Below are 18,463 nucleotides of genomic sequence, written 5' to 3'. Positions count from 1 at the left end.
TTAAAGAATATTATGGTTGTACTCTGACTCCTGGCATCAGGCCCAATTCGATTTGTCAGTGGTTACAAAACCCATTTCCCAAAAAGAAAAGGACCTCGGCCCATGTGCCCTTTAGGCAGTTCTTAAGGGTGGAAAGGAGGGAATTGAACTCAATCTTTATTTTCTGATGTTTTGTGGGGAGGGGTGGACACCAGAATATTTTTGTCTCTTTCCTCATTAAATTCACTTTTCTTTCTCTGAAAGGTTTCACCAAAATGTTAGTATTGCTGTCATTCTCTCCTGTTCCTTATTCCTTCACAGAGTTACTATTAGTCTTTTCATTCTGCCATCTTTAAAGTTTGTCTGAGTTTTAAGGAATAAGTATTTTGCCCTTGAGAGAGAACGTACCTACCCTGTTCTCTGAAGGTTTATTCGTTTTCCAGTGCCTAGTTAACAAAGACACTGTTCCTCTTTTTCTTGCTATCTACTAATGTGTTGAGCTGCAGGAGTTACTGCATGTGATATGGTTTACTAGCTTAGGAATTTGGAAGGTCACATATTTTCTTCTGCTGTTGTATTCAGCCCTGACATATTTTTACAGAAGGTTCTTTTTGGGGGACTTAATAGATCTTTGGTTTCAACATAAACTCACTTTTTCCCTCGGAGGTACGTAGGGCAGGTAGTACAGATTTATTTAGCCCGTTTAAATGATGCCGGGGTTAGATGGAAAATTTATTTACTCAGGATAACACATGGCAAGTTAATCAGAGTCAGGATCCTATTTAAATGTTTGTTATTGTTTTTATATCCCTTAATTATGAAAAGTTAAAAGGTAAGAGTTGAAAAATGCCGTTTTTAATTGGAGGTTTGCTGATGGTCCATTCAAATCTGAGGAAATCTTTTGTAATTAAAAAATTTCTGGCCGGGTGCAGTGTCTCATGCCTGTAATCCCAGCACTTTGGGAGGCCCAGGTGGGCGGATCACAAGATGAGGAAATCGAGACCATCCTGGCCAACATGATGAAACCCCATCTCTGCTAAAAATACAAAAATTAGCTGGGCGTGGTGGCACATGCCTGTAATCCCAGCTACTTGGGAGGCTGAGGCAGGAGAATCCCTTGAACCAGGGAGTTGGAGGTTGCAGTAAGCCGAGATGGCGCCACAGCACTCTAGCCTGGTGACAGAGCGAGACTCCGTCTCAAAAAAAAAAAAGAAAAAAGAAAAAAATTTCTACTTTGGTCTTACACCCTATGGTTTCTTCTGTTTGACAGTCGTAATAGTCACCATTGTGCTTCTTCTCAACTGAGTTCTTTTTTTTTTTTTTTTGAGACGGTTTCGCTCTTGTTGCTCAGGCTGGAGTGCAGTGGCGCAGTCTCGGCTCACTGCAACCTCTGCCTCCCAGGTTCAAGCGATTCTCCTGCCTTAGCCTCCCAAGTAGCTGGGATTACAGGCAAGTGCTACTATGTCTGGCTAATTTTTGCATTTTTAGTAGAGATGGGGCGTCACCATGTTGGTCAGGCTGGTCTCGAACTCCTGACCTCAGGTAATCCACCTGCCTCGGCTTCCCAAAGTGCTGGGATTACAGGTGTGAGCCACTGTTCCTGGCTCAACTGAGTTCTTTGCTTTTGATTGTCCCTTTTTCTTACTCTCCTATGGCAGCCACTTCTGGCTTTAAAGTTCCCACATCTATAAAGCAGAGTAGAGTTTTGGAGCTCTCTAAAATGTTCTTTAGAGCCAGAAGAATGGAAAACTTACAGTATTTCAAGTCTCTATATATCTTTTTTATTTATCCTAGTACTCCTTTTCTCAAGTATTGAGACATACTGATACAGAGAGTTGTATATTAATAATGTATCAGGTGATGAATAATTATTTAAAAATCTGTTTTATAACATTATAGAGCAACCTATAAGTGGTTTAAATTTATCAACCATTAGGTTGTGGCAGAACTGCTCTCCTCTTTTTTTTTTTTAAGCTTCTTAGGAATTTTTTTCCACCTAAATTCATTTTGTTTTATTTTTTCGAGACAGTCTCACTCTTGTCGCCCAGGCTGGAGTGCAGTGGTGCGATCTAGGCTCACTGCAACCTCTGCCTCCTGGGTTCAAGCGATTTCTCCTCCCTCAGCCCCCTGAGGAGCTGGGACTATATGCGCCTGCCACCACACCTGGCTAATTTTTTTGTATTTTTAGTAGAGACGGGGTTTCACCACGTTGGTCAGGCTAGTCTTGAGCACGTGACCTCAAATGATTGCCCCGTCCCGGCCTCCCAAAGTTCTGGGATTACAGGCATGAGCCACTGCACCTGGCCCTCCACCTCTAATTTTAGTTAAAAGGGGTTTTTTTTTTTTTTTTTTTTGGTTGTTGTTTTGGTAGTGCTTCATGTCTTTGGATTTTGTCTCTAGTAATCCCCCCAAAGAAGGAAAGTTATATAGTGTCTTTAAAATACTTCCCCTCCCCTGTTTCCTGTTATTTTTCCCCTCAAGCAATTTTAATTAACTGTTCTGTGACAGACGGTAAAATGGGATTGCCCAAAGTGCTCTGGTGGGCTGGATTAAGTGATGGGTGGTTTGTACTGATCGTGTTGTAGAAGGATCGAGCCTTTCCCCTCCCCCTTCAGTTGAGCTGTAATCTTGTTAGATGATCTTAAAATGTTATTGATTAATTCACAGTGCTGTTAGAGGAATAAGCATAAATACTGGATTTAAAACCTAAGAAGTAATTCCCTTAAGCTCTGAATGCCTTAGCCTTGAGGCCAAGAGAGGTACCTTCCAATTTCTCCACCCAGTCTTCACTGAAAAGGAAAGTTAAGCCTTTTAACTTTTCCATTTGCTTCTCCCCCTTAGTGTAGTACTGCTGCCAGTTGCTATGGCAACGGACTGGGACAGCTGCGCAGTGGCGCCCAGGCAGCTGGGTGGGGGCAGGGGAGCTGCCAGCCCGCCAAGACCCAGACCTGGGAGGGGAGGCCCCTCCTGTTAGCCCAGAGGGAAAGAAAGAACTGGGGCGATCCGGTAGGTAAAGGAGGGAACCCCCATTCATTTTCTACCTTTGGGGCTCCTCTTCTGCATGAAGGTATAAAGGGAGATTTTCCTTGTCTCTCCCTCAAAATGAAGAACACATGTAAATCCTTGTTTTTCCTGGTGAGGCAGGGGAGGCCATAGCCACAATGCTTAACTGCATGCATCTAACATGGGGCTGGTTTTAACCCCAGCGCTCTGACCTAAACTGCTCAGCTCCCGGAAATTCCAAGGTGAGTGGTGGTGGGGGTGGGGTACTCTCCCTGGAATATGACATTTCCTGTCTCTGGTGAGGTTGGAGGCTGTTTTATTTTAAATAAAGCACATAAGATATTTTCTTGAAGCTTAGGACTCTTCTAAATTCATGGAAAAATTATTTTAACCCCCCCGCACCTACATTTTGCTACTACTTCCTCTTCCAAATAGAGTATTTTAATAAAAACTTAGTCTTATAGGGCAGTAATGGGTATAGGCAGTTTTTTAGGTGGGCAGACCTATAGCTAATAAGTTCTGGAGATATGGTCTCCAACTATATATTCTTGTAATAATTTTTAAAATTTTGCTAATTTGAAGTGAATTGATAATTGCCACTTTTTATGTGACTTGAACATCATTCTGAGGTTAGTAGTGGGCCCTCCCTGACCCAGTGGTTTTCTGGTCAGGGTGGAAATATTTAGAGGGTGCTGATAAACATCTTTAAAGATTACAGGAAAATAATAATGGAGTTCAGCTAAGAAAACAATTTCTGCTACTCTGTAATCCAGACTGTAGGCACCATTTAGCATGGTTAAGGAAGAATTCTTAAAAATGATTATGGAACAACAACATGGGAATTTTTAAAACTAGATTCTCTGTTGAGTACCCCCTGGTGTGCATATTTCTGAGCTTAACTCAATTTCCATTTGTGTTTCCTTGCTTCAGCTTTCCTTGGGCCTATGAATGGTTCCTCTGTATTTTGAGGAGGCTTCATGTTGATGCTGAGTCTGGGGCCAGACTTCTTTTTCCTCCTCCTCTTCCTTTGGCCCTGAGTCAACTTCAGTTAAGAGGGAGAGGTACCTTCTTAACTATTTGGGTTAGTTGCATCTTGGGAATTACTGAATAATCTAGTGACTAATTTTGAATTTTAGGACTGAAAAATTTTTTCTCCTTTCTGCCTCCCTCCCATCCCCAAATTAGCTTTCTAAAAAGGAAGATTAGTGTGTTTGAGATGTCAGCCTTGCTTTTGTGAGCTGATGGATGCTCTGAAGGGACAAGCTCAATTTGTTTAAGGGAAATGTACCAAGTCACTGAAAATGTGGTGAAAGGTGCCTAAGCAAGCCTTTTTTGTGTGCTGCTAAGAGACTGGGCAAGATGCTCAGAGCACAGAAAACTCATATTTTAGTGGCTTTTCTTTTTTCATTTTTATAAAGACGCTTATTCACCTTGGAGAAAAAGGTTTTAATTTTATCTTGGTTCATTTAACTAAAGATTTTGCACATTTCTGTTTGAGTTCCTGGCTTGTAAACAGTTACAAACATAGCCAGGAATAACATACCACACTACTTGTCTTTTGGAATCTGAAATAGAAGAGTTAAACAGTTGTGCCTTCTAATAATTTTGGTCTCTTTAGCCGAAGAGGAGGTTGTAGTTGAGGAAGTGAAGACTGATTCATTTTTAAATTAAACTCTTAGGACTCATCTGTAGAATGATTTGAGACTCAAGAGCAGGGCACATGGCAACTCAGTGTTATCCCCTTTTCATCCCATCAAGAAAAGACAAAGTTTTTAACTCCTCACATGGATTCTAACCATTTTGTCCTTTGCCTTTGCAGGGACCTGGTGGCCTTAGTCTTTCAGGTGGAACGGTGTGCGACATGGGAAAGAAAACCAAGCGGACAGCTGACAGTTCTTCTTCAGAGGATGAGGAGGAGTATGTTGTGGAGAAGGTGCTAGACAGGCGCGTGGTTAAGGGACAAGTGGAATATCTACTGAAGTGGAAAGGCTTTTCTGAGTAAGTTCCTTTTTTCCCCCAGGCGTTGGGACTCTGTAGAGATAGATACCTTTGGTTTACTTCCTTAGGAATCACAAGCATTTTTGTCTTTTTCTTCCCCCTCCTGCACTCTTCCTAAGAGTTAGAAGACACAGCAGTAAAGAAAACAAAATCTCTCCGCTTGTGGAGCTTACGTTCTAATGATACTGCTTTTGAAAGGCAGTATAATGAATTGGTTAGGAGCACAGACTCGAGAGTCAGATTGCTTGGGTCTAGATTCTAACTCCACCACTTATGATACAAACTGGATGGCCTTGGCTAATTTCCTTAATCATTTTATCTCCTCAGTGAAATAAGGATAAGCAGTAGTGCTTATAAGGCCAGGCGTGGTGGCTTGCACTCTAATCTCAGCACTTTGGGAGGCTGAGGCGGGTGGATCACCTGAGGTCAGGAGTTTGAGACCAGCCTGGCCAACATGGTGAAACTCCATCTACTAAAAATAAAAAAATTAAGTGTGGTGGCAGGTCCCTGTAATCCCAGCTACTCCAGAGGCTGAGGTAGGAGAATCACTTGAACCTAGGAGGCGGAGGTTGCAGTGAGCCAAGATTGCGCCACTGCACTCCAGCCTGGGTGACTGTGTTTTTAGTAGAGGCAGGGTTTTGTCATGTTACTCAGGCTGGTCTCGAACTTCCAGGCTCAAGTGAGCCACCTGCCTTGGCCTCCCAAAGTGCTGGGATTACAGCCGTGAGCCACCGTGCCTGGCTGTGAAATTAATTTTAATAATATTTTATTTAACCTAATACGTGAAAAATACTATTTCAGCGTTAATCAGTACAAAAGTTATTAATGAAATTTGTGTGTGTGTGTGTGCTAAGACTTGAAAATCTGGGATGTATTTTATACTTTATAGTGCATCTCCATTCAAACTAGCTGCATTTCAAATAGGCACATGTGGCTAGTGGTTACCATATTGGATGGCACAGCTCCTGCAGTCTAGGACCTAAATACACTAAAAGATACAGTGGTTTACCAATACTTTTGGATAAAGGCTATGTGTCAAGAACCTTTGAAACATACTGGAGGTTATTTCATTACATGACTCAAGGTTTCTCATCTGGAGAATTATTGGCGTTGTAGGTGGGATCATTCATGCATTGCAGGATGCTTAGCATCTCTAGCACCCAGAGTGCAAGTATGGGTAGCACAACAATCAGAAGATGCCCTCTGTTTGTAGAGAGGAGTGGTATCACAGCTTCCACTAGAGATGAGAACTGTTAAAGTTTGAGAGACCTCTAGAGCACTAACAGATAGGAACTAAAGTAACACCAGAAGATTTTGAAGATGTTTATTGGGCCCATTTCCACTGGAAATATTTGGGTGTTTGAAAGATACTTGAAACTCTTTCTCTGTCATTGAGCTACTGGTACCTTACCATAGATGAAAGGGGAAAAGGTAAGGTTTGGGGTAGACAAAGTAAACATTGGTCCTTTTTCAGAAATGCCCTGGATTTCATAAAAGACTGGAACAAATCAGCATTGTCTATAACTAAATGCCTACTTTGTGCTAGACAGTGATCAAATTCTACCTCTTGTGCTCTCTTCGATTCTCACAAAAGCATTTAGAGTCCAGGCATGGTGGTATGTACCCGTGGTCCCAGCTACTAGGGAGGTTGAAGTGGGAGGATTGCTTGAGTCCAGGAGTTTTGGGCTGTAGTGCACTAAACCGATCAGGTGTCTGCATTAAGTTTGGCATCAATATAGTGACCTCCCAGGAGTGAGGGACCACCAGGTTGCCTAAGTAGGAGTGAACCAGAGCAGGTCAGAACTCCCATTTTGAGCATTAGTAGGATCGTACCTGTGAATAGCCACTGCACTCCTGTCTGGTTAACATAGCAAGACCCTTGCCTCTTTCAAAACTTTAATTCTTTTTTTAATTTAAATTTTTACATATTTTTATCTTTTTTTTTTTTTTTTTTTGAGACAGAGTCTCTCACTATCGCCCACGCTGGAGCTCAGTGGCGCGATCTCAGCTCACTGCAACCTCCGCCTCCCGGGTTCAAGCGATTCTCCTGCCTCAGCCTCCCGAGTAGCTGGGATTACAGGTGCCTGCCACCACGCCCAGCTAACTTTTTGTATTTTTAGTAGAGACAGCATTTCACCATGTTGGCCAGGCTGGTCTCGAACTCCTGACCTTGTGATTCGCCCACCTCAGCCTCCCAAAGTGTTGGGATTACAGGCGTGAGCCACCACGCCCTGCTTTTTTATCTTCAAAATAGAGACAGGGTCTCACTGTGTTACCCAGGCTGGTCTCGCTCTCTTGGGTTCAAGCGATCTGCCTGCCTTGGCCTCTTGAAGTGCTGGGATTATAGGTGTGAATCACTATTCCTGGCCAACCCAGGCTCTTTTTAAATCATACTATGTTGTCTTTTGGGTGGAAACTGAAGTAGAAGCAGCAGTACCAAAGTGTTAGGAAAAGGGATAATCGCATTATAGGACTGGCTTTTCTAGCTATCAACAGATTCTTCCCAACCCCCAAGTGTATTCGGCTTGTGTAATAGTCTTGGTACACCTTTTGATATTGGTATGTTAATTTCCTCTGGGATGGTAAACTATATGGTCTGTGGGTTTTGGGGAAAGTTACTGTGTGAGGAATTTTTTTTCTTGACTTCTTTTCTTTTTTTGAGACAAGAGTTTTGCTCTTATTGCCCAGGCTGGTGTGCAATGGCGTGATCTTGGCTCACTGCAACCTCCTTCTCCCGGGTTCAAACGATTCTCCTGCCTCAGCCTCCTGAGTAGATGGGATTACAGGCGCCCGCCACCACGCCCTTCTAAATTTTGTATTTTTATTAGAGATGGGGTTTCACTGTGTTGGCCAGGATGGTCTCGACCTCCTGACCTCAGGTGATCCACCTGCTTCTGCTTCCCAAAGTGCTGGGATTAGAGACTTGAGCCACCGTGCCCGGCCGAGGAATTTTTTTTCTGCTGAGAGAAGGGATATAAAGGAGAAACTTTCCCATATTAGCTCAAATGATTTAGAAATAAATTTTGTCTCAATATTATGTTCCTTTTGTAGAAAGTTGTTTAGGTCAAGAGTAAATAGCTCAGATTTTTCCGTCTTTCTGCTTTCTACTTGAGTCAGGTTATTATGGCATGTGTTCAAATCATTCCCATCTAAATAAACCTTTTTTTTTTTTTTTTTTTTTTGAGATGGAGTTTCACTCTTGTTGCCCAGGCTGGAGTGCAATAGCTCGAACTCAGCTCACCACAACCTCCTGCCTCCCGGGTTCAAGTGATCCTCCCTCCTCAGCCTCCTGAGTAGCTAGGATTACAGGCAGGTGCCACCATGCCCGACTGCTTCAGCCTCCCAAAGTACTGGGATTACACGCATGAGCCACCGTGCCTGGCTGAATTTTGGGTTTTTAAATAGCTTTATCGAGGTATTATTTAAACACCATAACATTCACCCATTGAAATTGTACAATTCAGGCTAGATGCGGTGGCTCACATCCATAATTCCAGCACTTTGAGTGGCCGAAGCAGGCGGATCACTTGAGGTCAGGAGTTCGAGACCAGCCTGGCCAACATGGTGAAACCCCGTCTCTACTAAAAATACAAAAATTGGTGGCGCATGCCTGTAATCCTAGTTACCGGGGAGGCTGAGGCCGAAGAATGGCTTGAACCCAGGAGACAGGTTGCAGCGAGCCGATATCACACCACTGCACTCCAGCCTGCAAGACAGAGTGAGACTCCATCTCAAAAAAAAAAAAAATTGTACAATTCAGTGATTTTTTTTTTTTTTTTTTTTTTTGAGATGGTATCTCACTCTGTTACCCAGGTGGGAGTGCAGTGGTGCAATCACGGTTCACTGCAGCCTCAACCTTCTGGGCTCAAGGGATCCTCTCATTTCAGCCTCCCAAGTAGCTAGGACTACAGGTGCAAGCCACCATGCCTGAGTAATTTTTAAATCTTCTGTGGAGACAGGAGTCTTGCTATGTTGCTTAGGCTGGTCTTTGAACTGTTGGGCTCAAGTGATCTGCTCACCTTAGCCTCCCAAAGTGCTGAGATTACAGGCGTGAGTCACTGCGCCCAGCCCAATTAAATTATTATTATTGTTTTTTTTTGAGATAGAGTCTCAGTCTGTTGCCCAGACTGGAATGCAGTGGTGCAGTCTTGGCTCACTACAACCGCAGCCTCCCAGATTCAAGCAGTTCTCATGCCCTAGCCTCCTGCGTAGCTGGGACTGCAGGTGTGCACCACCAAGCCCAGCTAATTTTTGTATTTTTAGTGGAGACAGGGTTTTGCAATATTGACCAGGCTGGTCTCGAACTCCTGAGTGCCTCTCAAAGTGCTGGGATTACAGGCGTTAGCCACTGTGCCTGGCTCCAATTAAATGATTTGGAATAAATTTATAGAGCTATGCAACCACCACTATGATCCAGTTTCAGAACATTTTTGTGTCCCCCAAAATTCTCTTGATTCCCATTTGTAGTTAATTACAACTCCCTCCCTCAGCCCCAGGCATTCACTGATCTGCTTTTTTTTTTTTTTTTTTTTTTGAGACAGAGTCTGGCTTTTTCGCCCAGGCAGGAGTGGCACAATCTCAGCTCACTGCAACCTCCCCTTCCCGGGCTCAAGCAATTCTCCTGCCTCAGCCTCCCGAGTAGCTGGGACTACAGATGTGTACCACCACACCAAGCTAATTTTTGTAATTTTAGTAGAGACACGGTTTCACTGTGTTGGCCAGGCTGGTCTCAAACTCCTGACCTCAAGTGATCTGCCTGCCTCGGCCTCCCAGAGTGCTGGGATTACAGGTGTGAGCCACCGTGCCCGGCTGATCTGCTTTCTGTCTCTATAAATTTGTCTTTCCCAGACATTTCATGTAAATGGAATTAGTATGTAGTATCTTGTGTCTTATTTCTTTCACTTAGTATAATGTTTTTGGGGTTCTTCCAAGTTGTAGCATGTTTTAATATTTTGCTTATTGTTGTTGGATAATATTCCTTTGTATGGATATACCACATTTTGTTTTTCCATGTCACCATCCATTGATGAACATTTGAATTTGTTTTCTGTTTTTGGCTATTAAAATGCTGCTGTAAACAATTGTAAATAAGTCTTTGTGTGGGCTTTTTTTTTTTTTTCATTTTTCCTGGGTAGAAATCTAGGATCAAATTTGTTATCTTCTTTAAAGCATAGGGTTTCTCTGTCCTTTTTGTCCGAATGTCCTCTTTGAAATAAGGCATTGGATTTTTTTCCTCATTCTTTACCCCCCCCTTTTTTTTTTAATTTTCCCATTTTTCTTACCCAGGGAGCACAATACTTGGGAACCTGAGAAAAACTTGGATTGCCCTGAGCTAATTTCTGAATTTATGAAAAAGTATAAGAAGATGAAGGAGGGTGAAAATAATAAACCCAGGGAGAAGTCAGAAAGTAACAAGAGGAAATCCAATTTCTCAAACAGTGCCGATGACATCAAATCTAAAAAAAAGAGAGAGGTAAGCTTCCTTTCCCTTTTCCCCAAAAACTATTCTTTTGCCACCAAAATAATAATAATAAATAAAAGTATCATATTTTGGTTATTTCTATTGTAAGGATGGACCTATAAGGTAAATTGTTGAACAAAAGAGCTTCCAGGGAGGTATGTTGATTACAGCTCCCTCTCCTGGCTAAGTGAGAAATGTAATTTGTGGCCACTGGATTGTATTAAGGGGGCAAAATTAAATCTTTGTAAAATGTTAAACCACTCCTCTGCCTTCTCCATAAGTAGAAGACTTAGTTATCTTAGAGAAGGAGGATCATTGGTGAATTTTTTAAGAATAGAAAGGGGCTTTGAAATGTTTTGTTTTGTTTTGAGACAGAGTCTTGCTCTGTTGCCCAGGCTGGAGTGCAGTGGCTGGATCTCAGCTCACTGCAATCTCCAACTCCCGGCTTTAAGCGATTCTCATGCCTCAGTAGTAGCTGGGATTATAGGCACATGCCACCACACCTGGCTGATTTTTTTTTTTTTTTTTTTTTTTTTGAGACAGAGTCTTGCTGTCACCCAGGCTGGAGTGCAGTGGCACTATCTTGGCTCACTGCAAGCTCTGCCTCCCGGGTTCACGCCATTCTCCTCCCTCAGCCTCCCGAGTAGCTGGGACTACAGGCGCCTGCCACCACGCCCAGCTAATTTTTTTGTATTTTTAGTAGAGACGGGGTTTTACCATGTTAGCCAGGATGGTCTTGATAATTTTTGTATTTTTAATAGAGACGGGGTTTCGCCATGTTGGTCAGGCTGGTCTTGAACTCCTGACCTCGTGATCCGCCTGCCTTGGCCTCCCAAAGTGTTGAGATTATAGACGTGAGCCACCATGCCCAGCCGGGGCTTTGAAATGTTTACCATTTCACTTCCTTTTTTCTTTTTTTTTGGAGACAGAATATCGCTCTGTCACCCAGGCTTGAGTGCAATAGTGCGATCTTGGCTCACTGGAACTTCCACCTCCTGTGTTCAAGCAGTTCTCCTGCCTCAGCCTCCCAAGTAGCTGGGATTACAGGCACACGCCACCATGCCCAGCTAATTTTTTGTATCTTTAGTAGAGACGGGGTTTCACCATGTTGGCCGGGCTGGTCTCAAACCCCTTACCTTGTGATCCATCCACCTTGGCCTCCCAAAGTGTTGGGATTACAGGCGTGAGCCACCGCGCCCGGCCCTTTCTTTTTTTTTTTTTTTTTTTTTTTTTTTTTTTTTGAGACGGAGTCTCGCTCTGTCGCACAGGCCGGACTGCGGACTGCAGTGGCGCAATCTCGGCTCACTGCAAGCTCTGCCTCCCGGGTTCACGCCATTCTCCTGCCTCAGCCTCCCGAGTAGCTGGGACTACAGGCGCCCGCCACCGCGCCCGGCTAATTTTTTGTATTTTTAGTAGAGACGGGGTTTCACCTTGTTAGCCAGGATGGTCTCGATCTCCTGACCTCATGATCCACCCGCCTCGGCCTCCCAAAGTGCTGGGATTACAGGCGTGAGCCACCGCGCCCGGCCCCGGCCCTTTCTTTTGTTCCAGTGATAGCATTTGTTTTCAATCCTTGATAATCTTTTTTTTGCAGTGAAAATCATATAATATACAATTAAATATTTTATTTATTTATTTATTTTGAGACAGAGTCTTGTTCTGTCACTCAGGCTGGAGTGCATGGGCGTGATCTCGGCTTACTGCACCCTCACCTCCTGGGTTCAAGTGATTCTCCTGTTTCAGCCTTCTGAGTAGTTGGGATTACAGGCATGTGCCACCATAGCCAGATAATTTTTGTATTTTTATTTTTATTTTTTATTTATTTTTTTGAGACGGAGTTTCACTCTTGTTGCCCAGGCTGGAGTTCAATGGCATGATCTTGGCTCACTGCACCCTCCATCTCCTGGGTTCAAGTGATTCTTCTGCCTCAGCCTTCCAGAGTAGTTGGGATTACAGACATGCACCACCATGCCCAGCTAATTTTGTATTTTTAGTAGAGAGGGTGTTTCTCCATGTTGGTCAGGGTGGTCTTGAACTCCCTAACTCAGGTGATCCACCTGCCTTGGCCTCCCAAAGTGTTGGGATTACAGGTGTGAGCCACCATGCCTGGCTCAATTAACAATTTTAAAATGTACAGTTCAGTGGCATTTATATTCTCTTGATCTATTATTTCTACATACTTGGCGTACAAAATTAATTTTTGTCTTTTGAATCTTCTTCAGTTTGGGAAGTGTATTTATGAAATTTTGGTTTGATTTAGTTGCTTTAATCCTTCTGATCTTTAGCTCTCAAGTAAGTAGCATAAGCACTGTTATTGCCTCTCTCTCTTTTCATCTGTGTGTGGGCGCATAAATACACACACTCTACCACCTCCTCCCGCCCCCAGCTTCCATTCCTTTTATTTATTTCAAGGTTATGAAGCCTTTTGTGGTGAAGGATGTATCATACACTTTACATTTCATAAAAGCGTAAGTCTACTTCGGAATCTTCCAGCCTTCCAGAGTAGCTGCCACAATCATCCCTATGTATCTTCATTCTAATTAGATTTATACCTTTCTAGAGCATTAGTTCTCAATGCTACACATTATAATCACCTGGGGGGTACGTTAAAAAAAAAAAAAAATCTCCAGTGCCTAAGATGCACCCCAGACCAGTAAAATTAGAATTTTTTTTTTTTCTTTTTTTTTTGAGACATAGTCTCACTCTGTTGCCCAGGCTGGAGTGCAGTGGCACAATCTCACTGCAACCTCTGCCTCCTGGGTTCAAGCGATTCTCCTGCTTCACCCTCCCTAGTAGCTGGGACTACAGGCACATGCCACCATGCCTGGCTAATTTTTTGTATTTTTAGTAGAGATGGGGTTTCACCGTGTTAGCCAGAATGGTCTCAATCTCCTGACCTCGTTATCCGCCCATCTTGGCCTCTCAAAGTGCTGTGATTACAGGCATGAGCCACCACACCTGGCCTCTGTCATTTTTAAAAAGGAGCAGTCTGAATAATCTGGCTTGGAGCCACTGGCCAGTGCACAGAGTTTTGTTCCTAGGCCAGGTTCTGAAGCTGCCGACCTTGAAAACAACCCCCACATGTCCCTTACATCATAATGTTCATCTGGGACCCCTGATAGCATTCTTAGCAGTACTGGCTGCTGTCAGGTAGACAGCTGGAAAGATAGGTGATTGTATGTTTTAAAGGTATAGGAGGGGATTGTGTTTATTTCTTAAGACCACTGGAGAAGAAATTTGTTAGTTTGCATTATGCCTGATTTAAGATTACTGCCTGTATGATGATTTTAGCATTTTCTTCGCCCTGGCTCCTTTTCAGCAGCTTGAACGTTTTTCTTCCATTCGCCTCCTCTTCCCTCCCTATGTAGCAAACTGTTTTCAGTTGCCAGTTATGATTTACAACTTAGTCCATGCACCAGCATTCCAGCTGTGAGCAGCTGTGTGCACATCTGGGAACTTCTTCCCCTTAAGCACCCCCAAAAGAGGCTATGTTTTTAAAAGTCAGTATCTCTCATTGATCCACGCGTGGAATGTCCTTCCAATTGTGAATTTTGGTATCTTTGGGGACCACCCGGACCCCAAATGCTTTGTATGTCTCAGAGGAAAGCAGGTGAACATAAGATCAAAGAGATTTTATTATGAAAATCGGGCAGTAGAGATTTAGTTCATTTGGGCATCTCTAAATCTTTTTTTTGTGTGTGTGTTGCCACTAGAGAGGCTAGCATTATCTTCCATAATAAAGTTTTTTCAAATTACCTAGTTTGGGCCGGGTGCGGTGGCTCACGCCTGTAATCCCAGCACTTTGGGAGGCTGAGGCGTGTGGATCACTTGAGGCCAGGAGTTCAAGACCAGTGTGGTCAACATGGTGAAACCCTGTCTCGACTAAAAATACAAAAAATTAGCCAGGCGTAGCCGGGTGTGATGGCTCACATCTGTAATCTCAGCACTTTGGGAGGCCGAGGCAGGGTGGATCACCTGAGGCTAGGAGTTTGAGACCAGCCTGGCCAAAATGGTGAGACCCCTGTCTCTACTAAAAATGGAAAAATTAGCCAGGTGCGGTGGCACGCACCTGTAATCCCAACTACTCAGGAGGCTAAGGCAGGAGAATCGCTTGAATCTAGGAGGCAGAGGTTGCAGTGAGCTGAGATTGTGGCACTGCACTCCAGCCTGGGCAACAGAGCAAGACTCTGTCTCAAAAAAAAAAAAAAAAAATTAGCCAGGGGTGGTAGCAGGCACCTATAATCCCAGCTACTCAGGAAACTGAGGCAGGAGAATCACTTGAACCTGGAAGGTGGAGGTTGCAGTGAGCTGAGATTGCGCCACTGCACTTTAACCTAGGCAACAGAGGGAGACTGTCTAAAAAAAAAAATTACCTGGCTTGTATAAAATTTTGCTTTTTGGCTCTCATCAGTGTTACTACACATGGATTTGAACCTGTGCTCCTTGTCTAGATTGTATTACTACATTTAGACCAAGTTTCAATACTCATCTCATGAATTATCAAATTTTTTCTCTCTCTTAAGAGACAGGTTCTCACTATGTTGCCCACCATGGAGCACAGTGGCGTGATCATAGCTCACTGCAGGCTTGAACTCCTGGGCCCAAGGGATCCTCCCACCTCAGCCTCCTGAGTCGGAGTAGCACACTTCAAGTGTGCATCACTGTGCCCAGCTAATTTGCAGAGACAGTTGCCCATGTTGGTCTCCAATTCCTAGTCTCAAGCAATCCTCCTATGTCAGCCTCCCAAAGTGCTGGGATTACAGGCATGAGTCACTGCACCAGGCCAGTTTTTTGTTTTTGTTTTCTTTTTTGTTTGTTTTTGTTTTCAGTCACAGTCCGGTTCTACCTTCTAATGCTAACAGTCATCTACATCCAGAGGGGATAGGCACTGACCAGGGCCTTCTCTCTAACCAAGCATATAGGTATTGGTGTTTATGATCTCTGAAATTTTGCTATTTAATAGTATTGGCCTTACATAATTCTTACCTCTATTCTTCCATAAACACAGGTGACTGTGAAATGTGTCAAAATTATTGTTTAGTGTTAAGGTAAACTAAAAGTCTAAAAAAATAAAGATTGAGAGAGAGGTAGTATATTTGAAGTTTGTAAAATGAAAAGATACAGTTAGGGTAAACATGGTATTCTTTACCATTTCAGAAGCTTATTTACAATATTAAGGAGATTCCAAGTGAGTGGGATTAGAGGAGTTCCTAGATGTTGACTCCAGAGTATCTTTCTTTTCGCCCCTTTTCTTTTTTTTTTTTTTTTTTTTGAGACGGAGTCTTGCTATGTTGCCCAGGCTGGAATGCAGTGGTGCGGTCTCAGCTCACTGCAACCTCCGCATCCCGGGTTCAAGCAATTCTACTGCCTCAGCCTCCCGAGTAGCTGGGGTTACAGGCACCTGCCACCATGCCTGGCTAATTTTTTGTATTTTTAGTAGAGATGGGGTTTCACCATGTTGGCCAGGCTGGTCTTGAACTCCTGAGCTTGTGATTCGCCTGCCTTGGCCTCCCAAAGTGCTGAGATTACAGGCGTGAGCCACCATGCCTCTGACTCCGGAGTATCTTATAGGACATTAGAGACTTTTAGGGTTCACCACCAGTCTTCTGGAGGAATTCCAGGAAAGATAATCACATCTTACAAAAATATCTCTTGACATCACTGTCACTTCATTGTCACTGTCAGTACTTAGTATTAAGTTCTAAAAATTTTTCTGAATTGGTGAAAGAAATGATATCAGGAGATATTAACTTAGGTTATGTTTTGTTGAGCCTAGAAGCAGGGAGTTTCTTTACTCTTTCCACAAGCTGTAACCTTTCTTTATCTTCTATTTATAGCAGAGCAATGATATCGCTCGGGGCTTTGAGAGAGGACTGGAACCAGAAAAGATCATTGGGGCAACAGATTCCTGTGGTGATTTAATGTTCCTAATGAAATGGTGAGAGAGATTTGGCTTCGCTTTACAATTGTGTTTCTTTGCCAGTGACTTGAATTTGTGTGGAAGATAGGGTGGCAAGACTGCATATTCCCAAACCATGAATTTTGAATGTCAGAGATCTTTCTTTTTTTGAGACAGTGTTTCGCCCTTTGTTGCCCATGCTGGAGTACAGTGGTGCGATCTCACTCAGCTCACTGCAGCCTCCGCCTCCTGGGTTCAAGTGATTCTCCTGTCTCAGCCTCCCGAGTACCTGGGATGACAGGTGCCCGCCACCATGCCTGGCTAATTTTTGTATTTTTATTATTTATTTATTTATTTATTTATTTTTGAGACAAAGTCTCTTGTTGCCCAGGCTGGAGTGCAATGGTGCGATCTCGGCTTACCGCAACCTCCGCCTCCGGGTTCAAGCGATACTCCTGCCTCAGCCTCCCGAGTAGCTGGGATTACAGGCATGTGCCACCATACCTGGCTACTTTTATATTTTTAGTAGAGACAGGGTTCCTCTATGTTGGTCAGGCTGGTCTCAAACTCCCGACCTCAAGTAATCCGCCTGCCTCGGCCTCCCAAAGTGCTGGGATTACAGGCGTGAGCCACTGCGCCTGGCCCATTTTTGTATTTTTAGTAGAGTCGGGGTTTTGCTGTGTTGGCCAGGCTGGTCTTGAACTCCTGGAATGTCAGAGATCCTTAACTGATACCAATTATTGGTGTTAAATGGGAATTATGCTTCAGAATGGATTGCTATTAAGTAAATTATAGTACTACATATCAGAAAAAAAGGTAAATTTGAGGTAGAAAATATATAAAGGTCGGATGCAGTGGCTCACACCTGTAATCCCAACACTTTGGGTGGCCAAGGCAGGCGGATCTCTTGGGGTCAGGAGTTCGAGGCTAGCCTGGTTAACATGGTGAACTCCTATCTCTACTAAAAATACAAAAATTAGCTGGGCGTGGTGACGCATGCCTGTAGTCCAGCTACTTGAGAGGCTGAGGAAGGATAATTGCTTGAACCTGGGAGGCAGAGGTTGCAATGAGCTGAGATCGAGCCTCTGCACTCCTGCCTGAACGACAGAGCAAGACTCCGTCTCTAAAAAAAAAAAATAATAATAAATATATATATATAAAACATGACTTAACCACTTGTTTACACAGTTCTGAATTACTTACTGTAAGACCATGGGCCTGTGATCCTGGGCTAGGAATCAAATGAGGCTTTCTGCCATCACTGAGGGCCAAACCTGCTGAATAATGTCTAAAAGAGAAAAATAATCTCAACAAAAAGCATTAAAGCTAATACTGGCCAAAGCACAAGTTATTTCATCCAGTAGAGAGAGGATGGCTCTTAGATGAAAAGGAAGTAGTTCTTCTCAATTTGATTTCTTTTTTTTTGAGACAGAGTCTCTTTCGCCTAGAGTGCAGTGGCGCGATCTTGGCTCACTGCAATCTCTGCCTCCCGGGTTCAAGTGATTCTCCTGCCTCAGCCTCCCAAGTAGCTGGGATTACAGGCGCCTACCACCATGCCTGGCTAATTTTTGTGTTTTTAGTAGAGATGGGGTTTTGCCATGTTGGTCAGGCTGGTCTCGAACTCCTGACCTCAAGCAATCTGCCTGCCTTGGCCTCCCAACGTGCTGGGATTACAGGTGTGAGCCACTGCGCCCAGCCCTAATTTGATTTCTTAAAGACAGAGTGATTTATGTTGTGGTCCTCACTACCTCTGTTTCCAAGTATTCTGAATTTGTGATACATAGAGGGTTTGTGTTGCAGTGCCACTAAAGAAACATGTTACCTTAAAAGTTGTATAATCAAGGCCGGGCGTGGTGGCTCACGTCTGTAATCCCAGCACTTTGGGAGGCCGAGACGCCGAGACGGGCGGATCACAAGGTCAGGAGATCAAGACCATCCTGGCTAACACGGTGAAACCCCGTGTCTACTAAAAATAAAAAAAAAAAATAGCCAGGCTTGGTGGCAGGCGCCTGTAGTCCCAGCTACTTGGGAGGCTGAGGCAGGAGAATGGTGTGAACCCGGGAGGCGGAGCTTGCAGTGAGCCGAGATCCTGTCACTGCACTCCAGCCTGGGCAACAGAGCGA

General features: G+C 43.7%; 1 protein-coding gene and 1 pseudogene across 3 annotated transcripts in view, besides 3 other annotated features; both read left to right on the top strand.

The window, feature by feature from the left end:
- CBX5 (chromobox 5) overlaps positions 1-18,463 on the top strand; it is a 49,181-nt gene that overhangs the window by 17,629 nt on the left and 13,089 nt on the right. Inside the window, exons 1-4 of one of the 3 annotated variants that reach the window (NM_001127321.1) lie at positions 2,908-2,985; positions 4,802-4,980; positions 10,267-10,453; positions 16,279-16,379. In NM_001127321.1, coding sequence (NP_001120793.1) covers positions 4,844-4,980; positions 10,267-10,453; positions 16,279-16,379 — 425 coding nt within the window. In that variant the 5' untranslated portion in view covers positions 2,908-2,985; positions 4,802-4,843. Of the gene's footprint in view, positions 1-2,907; positions 3,225-4,801; positions 4,981-10,266; positions 10,454-16,278; positions 16,380-18,463 lie in introns of those variants that run through there. The other 2 variants (NM_001127322.1, NM_012117.3) reach the window with 2 other exon arrangements.
- Positions 3,007-3,176: an enhancer, noted in NCBI's record as "active region_6436". NCBI's record gives its function as "activates an Ori minimal core promoter by ATAC-STARR-seq in GM12878 lymphoblastoid cells {active_cell/tissue: GM12878}" and the evidence as "EXISTENCE:reporter gene assay evidence [ECO:0000049][PMID:35858748]".
- Positions 5,370-6,031: an enhancer, noted in NCBI's record as "H3K27ac hESC enhancer chr12:54650247-54650908 (GRCh37/hg19 assembly coordinates)". NCBI's record gives its function as "activates a minimal SCP1, AML or CMV promoter by ChIP-STARR-seq in primed H9 embryonic stem cells {active_cell/tissue: H9 hESC(primed)}" and the evidence as "EXISTENCE:reporter gene assay evidence [ECO:0000049][PMID:30033119]".
- Positions 6,584-6,867, top strand: RN7SL390P (RNA, 7SL, cytoplasmic 390, pseudogene; annotated as a pseudogene).
- Positions 13,289-13,488: a silencer, noted in NCBI's record as "fragment chr12:54642790-54642989 (GRCh37/hg19 assembly coordinates)". NCBI's record gives its function as "represses an EF-1alpha promoter that drives an FKBP-Casp9 reporter gene in an ReSE screen in K562 erythroleukemia cells {active_cell/tissue: K562}" and the evidence as "EXISTENCE:reporter gene assay evidence [ECO:0000049][PMID:32094911]".

The sequence above is a fragment of the Homo sapiens genome, chromosome 12 (genome assembly GCF_000001405.40).
Source record: "Homo sapiens chromosome 12, GRCh38.p14 Primary Assembly".
Lineage (NCBI taxonomy): Eukaryota > Metazoa > Chordata > Mammalia > Primates > Hominidae > Homo > Homo sapiens.
Note: the sequence above shows the minus strand (reverse complement) of the source record. Positions and strands in the feature narration are given on the sequence as shown.